This window comes from Homo sapiens, chromosome 4, assembly GCF_000001405.40.
Source record: "Homo sapiens chromosome 4, GRCh38.p14 Primary Assembly".
Lineage (NCBI taxonomy): Eukaryota > Metazoa > Chordata > Mammalia > Primates > Hominidae > Homo > Homo sapiens.
In genome coordinates this window covers 43,485,580-43,493,119 of record NC_000004.12, presented here as the reverse complement: position 1 = coordinate 43,493,119, position 7,540 = coordinate 43,485,580, and the positions used below count along the sequence as shown (strand labels likewise).

The 7,540-nt window shown below is 32.3% G+C and overlaps 1 long non-coding RNA gene across 1 annotated transcript in view; it reads left to right on the top strand.

The window, feature by feature from the left end:
- Positions 1–576: 576 nt before the first annotated feature.
- LINC02383 (long intergenic non-protein coding RNA 2383) overlaps positions 577–7,540 on the top strand; it is a 35,014-nt gene continuing 28,050 nt past the window's right edge. Inside the window, exon 1 of the long non-coding RNA NR_146993.1 lies at positions 577–684. This is a non-coding gene — a long non-coding RNA (long intergenic non-protein coding RNA 2383). The remainder of the gene's footprint in view (positions 685–7,540) is intronic.

The window sequence follows — 7,540 nt, the reverse complement described above, 5'->3', positions numbered from 1 at the left end:
ACATATTTTTAAGACAAGAATTCCTAAAATATCAATCTGTTCTAGATATAATTACAGACAGTTGCAGGAAAATCATGAATTTTTCGATTCAGACAAACAGCTTTAAATCAGGCTGCAATCCAGAAATTTAAATAACTGGTGATTTAACCTACTACATAAATAGTTCAGGTTTACAAAAAATGCCTCCTTTCTCAGGAATCTCTTAATCTAAGACATAAAAATTGCTATTCTTGCCTCTATAGTCTCCAACCAATAGGCAGCCTTTCTTTTAAAATGAAAGTTATAGAATGTTTACATGGAATTTATGTTACAGGCAGTAAGGTATTATATATCTCTGTGTGTTTGTGTATGTATGTGTGTGTGTACACACATACACACACACATACACACATATATACCTTATAATATATATGTTTGGAACACATACACATTATATGTGTGTATGTGTGGATTAAATGTGTTTTGGAGATGGGACAATTGAAAGGTAATTAGGTCATAAAGGTGGATACCTCATGAATGGAATTAATGCACTTATGAAAACAGGCCAGAGAGCTAACTAGATCTTTTTCTGCCATGTGAGAATACAACAAGAAGTTAGCATTCTGCATCCCAGAAGAGGACACTCACTAGAACCCAACTGTGCTACATCCTGATCCTGATCTCAGATTTCCAGTTCCCAGTACTGTGAGAAATAATTTGCTGCTGTTTATAATTCATCCAGTCTATGGTCATTTGTTTTAACAGCCCAAACTGAAATAGACAATATGACATTAGAAAGTTAGGAACCAGACTTTCCTTTCCTTGTGATCTTATGATATTCATCTATTTTTTTCCTCCAACATGCTAATCATAAATCTGATGCAGGGTATTTGTACTTGCTCTTCCTTCTGCCTGGATCTCTCCTTCCCCAGAATTCACAGAGGTCTCCCTCACCTTTACTTTATTCAGGCATCTGCTGAAAAATCACCTCCTTTAAACACTTATCTGAACGACAGATATTTAAGTAAGAACCTACATCTCCACCCACCAGCCTCTAAAACTTGCAGTCCTTTCTTTTTCATGTATAGCATTCTTCAGTCTGACAATACATTATTTATATTTCTGTTGTATTCATTTATCATTTATCACTGGTCTCTCCCTCTGAAATTCATATGCCATAAAGGCAGGTAATGTTATTCACTGCTGTGTTTAGAGCAATGTTTGGTCCATAATATTGACTCAATATATATTTGATGAACAAATGAATTAATGAATTCATCTAAACAAAACATCTGCTATTTTCTCTCTTGAAAAAAATTTCACCTAATTAATAATAAAAGGATTATTAATTAGCTTAGACATTACTATTCAGAATCTTTTCAAATAAGTTGGCTTCTCAATATAAGATTTTTAGGAAGCAAACAGGATGTGTTATATGTAAAATATAACATAAATGACTAACGAATACACATTATAAGGTATTTTACAATGTCACTGGAATGATATTGTTTTGCCGAAATCAACCCTGGAAGAAATGGTCAATTCTATCATTATAATATTCCCCTATAACAATGAGATTTAACTTTCTGGGTAACAAAATATCTTAGAGTTAATAAAACTATAAAAATTATTTCCTGCAAAATGTGTTTAAGCAAATATCTTTTTTTTTTTTTTTTTTTTTTGAGACGGAGTCTCGCTCTGTCGCCCAGGCTGGAGTGCATTGGCGCGAGCTCTGCTCACTGCAAGCTCCGCCTCCTGGGTTCACGCCATCCTGCCTCGGCCTGGCCTCTCAGAGTAGCTGGGACCACAGGTGGCCACCACTGTGCCGGGCTAATTTTTTTGTATTTTCAGTAGAGACGGGGTTTCACCGTGGTCTCGATCTCCTGACCTCGTGATCCGCCCGCCTCTGCCTCCCAAAGTGCTGGGATTACAAGCGTGAGCCACCGCGCCCAGCCGCAAATATCTTAAAATACGATATATTCAATGTCAGTGAGCCTGGATGTAAGACTAAGAACTGCAGCCATAGACCAAGAGCATTTAGTGTTAGAAAGCAGTTTTAGAATCCTCCAGTCAAAATCCCTCATTTTAAAAGTGAATAAATAGAACCATAGAGAGTTAACATGGCTTGTGGAAGGACACACAGCTGCTAAGTGGTAGATCAATATTTTAAACAGAACATGAAAACTTAGTGCTTTTTCAATAACATATATGCTAAAAAGACTTTCAAAAACAAAATTTCTGATACAACAGCTTGCATACGTTATGAAGTCACTTGAATATCTCTGATGAAATAAAATGGTAAATGCCACAAGAAAGTTCCACTAGGTCTTGTACTTCATACTTATTTTTCCAAAATGCTTTATAAATACTTTTTTTCACCACTCCAACCGTCTATGTATATTTCTTCAATGTCTTTTAAAATCCTCTCAATAAAGTATATCATCATATATGCCAAATAAATATTTTCTTAAACTAATATGTCCATTTTTTAATATTTAATGAAAGTAAAATTTTTGACAAAGGCATGCTACACTATTATTTCTTATCCTGATTTGTTGGAGAAAATTTGTATGTACATTTTCTCATTTTTAGGCTTTTATTTATATTTTTATGTACATAATTTTTTATATATGCCTTTGGGAATATTAATTTTTCAATGGAGAAAAAATGTACAGTGAAAATGTTAAGAGTTGATTGAAATAAAGCCTTGTTTGAGTGAAAGCCTTTTTTGACTTCTCTTCCAGCAACAGTATGAGAGCTTTTCCGATGTTCACTGATTCAACTATGACAGAATGTCTATATAGTATACATTTTCCATAGATTTTTAAAATTCATTTAAAAAACTGTTTCTTTTTTAGCATCCCCCCTAATTATTCTAGACAACATGTAAGTGTGGCTAACAGTTTTGGTGGCAAAATATGTAAGAAGAGAACAGATATCCCATAGGGAAACTACTCAATAGAAATGTAAAATATGATAAGTAGAGTAAATTATCAGAAAGAATGCTAACCTAATAACATTGTTACAAATTTAATTATGGATGAGTCATAATCACTTCAGTGCAATAATTTCCTAAGCACAGGTAAGATAAGAAATACATTAATTGATCTTTTCTCTTTAAGCAGTTCTTGAATTATAAAGTGATATATCAAAGACATGGTGCTGCAAGACATACATGAAGTTTTGGTGAAGATTTGAGAAAATGTAGTACTGTCCTAGAAATAGCTAATAGCAGAAGAGTAAAGAAAAATATCCATAATACTCTAGAATAAAAATTTTAGGTAATAGCTAGTTAATTTGGGACATAGAAGAGAACAAAAGAGGTAAAACCATGGGAAAATGTTTATCAATTAAAAATTAAAATATTTAAATACACTTTTCTAGTGTGATATAAAATGAAATAATAAGTTAAAATGATGAAACAACGTCCAAATATATACATTATTATGATGAATGCAAATGGACTAAATTTAAAAGTTAAAAGATAAAAATTCACAAATTGGATAAAATGAATGCAAATTCCAGAAATTCACTGTTTACAAGAGGCATGAAAAAGCATAAAATCAAAAAATTTTAAAGAACTGGGAAAAGACACATGAAGCAAATGTTAACTCCAAGATAATGTTTCAGTTTAGTATCATATACAATAAGATTAAAAGGTAAAGATATAAACCTACAGAAATGACACTAAGATGTTAATTATAAAGAAAAATCAATTTTATACTGTAAACTACTTATAAAATAAGCTCAAAACATGAAGCAAGACTTGATAGAACTATAGAGAAAAACTGACAAATCTACCATTATAAATTATTTCTCTATTATTCATAAGTCAAAAATTTAGCAATAATATAGCAAGGGCGTAGAATATATAAAAACAAAGTGACAATTTAATCTAATGAAAACATTTAGTCATGAAGTCTTTGCCCATGCCTATATCCTGAATGGTATTGCCTAGGTTTTCTTCTAGGTTTTTTATGGTTTTAGGTCTTACGTTTAAGTCTATAATCCATCTTGAGTTAATTTTTGTATAAAGCGTAAGGAAGGGGTCCAGTTTCAGTTTTCCACATATGGCTAGTCAGTTTTCCCAACACCATTTATTAAATAGGTAATCCTTTCCCTATTGCTTGTTTTTGTCAGGTTTGTCAAAGATCAGATGGTTGTAGATGTGTGGTGTTATTTCTGAGGCATCTGTTCTGTTCCAGTGGTCTATATATCTGTTTTGGTACCAGAACCATGCTGTTTTGTTTACTGTAGCTTTATAGTATAGTTTGAAGTCAAGTAGTGTGATGCCTCCAGCTTTATTCTTTTTGCTTAGGATTGTCTTGGATACATGGGCTCTTTTTTAGTTCCATGTGAAATTTAAAGTAGTTTTTTCTAATTCTGTGAAGAAATTCAGTGGTAGCTTGATGGGGATAACCTTGAATCTATAAATTACTTTGGGCAGTATGGCCATTTTCATGATACTGATTCTTAATTAAACTAAAGAGCTTAATTAAACTAAAGAGCTTCTGCACAGCAAAAGAAGCTATCATCAGAGTGAACAGGCAACCTACAGAATGGGAGAAAATTTTTGCAATCTATCTATCTGATAAAGGGCTAATATCCAGAATCTACAAGGAACTTAAACAAATTTACAAGAAAAATAAAAAACAACCCCATCAAAAGTGGGTAAAGGATATGAACAGACACTTCTTAAAAGAAGACATGTATACGGCCAATAAACATGGAAAAAGCTCATCATCACTGTTCATTAGAGAAATGTAAATCAAAACCACAATGAGATACAATCTCATGCCAGTTAGAATGGTGATCATTAAAAAGTCAGGAAACAACAGATGCTGGAGAGGATGTGGAGAAATAGGAATGCTTTTACACTGTTGCTGGGAGTATAAATCAGTTCAACCATTGTGGAAGACAGTGTGACAATTCCTCGTGATCTACAACCAGAAATACCATTTGACCCAGCAATCAATTACTGGATATATACACAAAGGATTATAAATCATGCTACTATAAAGACACGTGCACACATATGTTTCTCACAGCACTATTCACAATAACAAAGACTTGGAATCAAACCAAATACCCATCAATGATAGACTGGATAAAGAAAATGTGGCACATATACACCATGGAATACTATGCAGCCATAAAAAAGAATGAGTTCATGTCCTTTGCAGGAACATGCATGAAGCTAGAAACCATCATTCTTAGCAAACTAACACAGGAACAGAAAGCCAAACACTGCATGTTCTCACTTATAAGTGGGAGTTGAACAATGAGAACACATGGACACCTGGAGGGGAACATCACACACCTGGGCCTTTTAGGGGGTACGGGGCTGGGGGAAGGATAGCATTAGGAGAAATACCTAATGTAGATGACGGGTTGATGGGTGTAGCAAACTACCATGGCACACATATACCTATATATCAAACTTGCATGTTCTGCACGTGTATCCCAGAACTTAAACTATAGTAATAATAAAAAAAGAAAGTCAGGAGGTAACATTTAAGCTGAGACCCATAAGATGACAAGAATCCAACTATGCTGAAAGTCACAGAAATAGTATGTTCAGGCAGAAGTGTCAACATGTGAACAGGCCAGATAGCAGAGCTTGCTGTATTTCTCTCCAGAGAAAATATGTATATATGTGTGACTGTATTTGTGTGCACACATAGGTTGGTAAACATCTATATAACTAAAGCTATCTCAAATGGCATAATATAAATGCATGGGCTCTGGAATTAAACAGCCCAGGGGCAAATCCTGCTGCTTACAATTAGCAGCAAAGGATGTTCTGCAATTCACTTAACTCTTAGTTTCAACACTTTCTTCTGTTAAGTGAGGCTTGTTATATACATGCAGCAGGACTTTTGTGGGGGTTAAATGTGATTATGTATGTTAAGTATCTAGCAAGATAGTAGAATACTATATAATGTGAAAAAAAAAGAAAATATTTGGAGTTCTCTGTACAGCAATTAGAGTGAATATGCATCTGTATTAACACTCATGGAACATTTACAATAATGAGTTATTTACAAGGTAAAATTCCTCAAAACATAAATAATAGTTGTCAAAAATATAATCTTTCACTATAATACAGCAGTTATAATTAGCAAAAAGATAAATTTTAAATCATATATTTGGAAAGAAAAAAATACATGTTACATAACTAAAGAATAAATAATAAATAATGTAAAAAATGGAGCAAATAGTAGAATGCATTAAAATTACACTGTAAACAGCACATGTGGGGTTTGAGATGTAACAATAGTTGTGCATTATGGAGAAATCTGTAGTCTTGCATGACTATATTGAAAAGACAAAAATTAATATAAAGAGCTTAGGGTCCATCATTAATTAGTAGAAAAAAACAGAATGAACCCAAATGAATGGAATGATAGATTTAAAAATAAAACCAGGGATTAATAAGCTACAAAATAAAGATACTATACAAAAAACAACAAAGCCAAAAGCTTCTTCATTGTAAAAGCTGACAATATCAACAAATCTCTGGCAGTGCTTATCAAGAGAAGAGAAGAAAAGTAATAAAAACTATTTTGAATAAAAATAGATACATATATATAGGCAAAAGATATTAGACAATAATAATAGAACATCAATAACAGTATACCAAATAGTTTTAAAATGTAGATAAAAGGCACAAATTTCTTGAGAAATTCTTTCTACTAAAAAGGCTCTACAAGAATGAAAAGTTTGAAGATTTCTATAATAATTAAAGAAACTGATGTCAGGATAAAATTTTTCTGCATAGAAAACATCAGGCCCAGAAAGTTTCATAAGAAAATTCTATTAACCTTTCAAGGAACAGATTATCCCAATTCTATTTAAACTTTTCCAGACAGTAGGATAAAAAGGAAATTTTCTTCAATTCATTCTAAGAAGCCAGCATAAACCTGATACACATATTATCCTAAATGTAGAAATTTTAGAAGACTTATTATCATAAAGGTATCAATTTGCTACAAATTGACCTGTACATTTCATGAAATTCCAAGAAAAATCATATATTTTAATGAATTTTAGAATTACTATAAAATTTACATGAAGAGCTATAATTCTAAGAAAACAGAATACATCCAAAGAATAACCAAAGGGGAATTGTCATATAAGAGTTTAATTCTAAGAAAACAGAATACATCCAAAGAATAACCAAAGGGGAATTGTCATATAAGAGTTTAAGCTTTTCTATGAAGATATAGTTTATAAGTTGACTGAGAAGAGAGAGAGAAAGAGAGAGGAGCCAATTAACTGACCTACCTATGTAGGAAACTTTTGTATATGTTAAAACTGCCAGTTCAGATAAGCACTAAAAGAAAAACTTTTCAATTAGTGGAGTTGGAAAAAAAATGGTTTTCTTAAAGAATATAGCATTAAATCCTATCATCACTATATATTATAATCAACTCCAGATGCATTACGGAGTTATGTGCCTAAACTCTTAGTAGAAAACAACTTAAAAACTGAGGAATAAAAATATGCATGGCTTTCAATCTGTGTATTTATATTTAAATAACATCTCTTCTAAAGACCA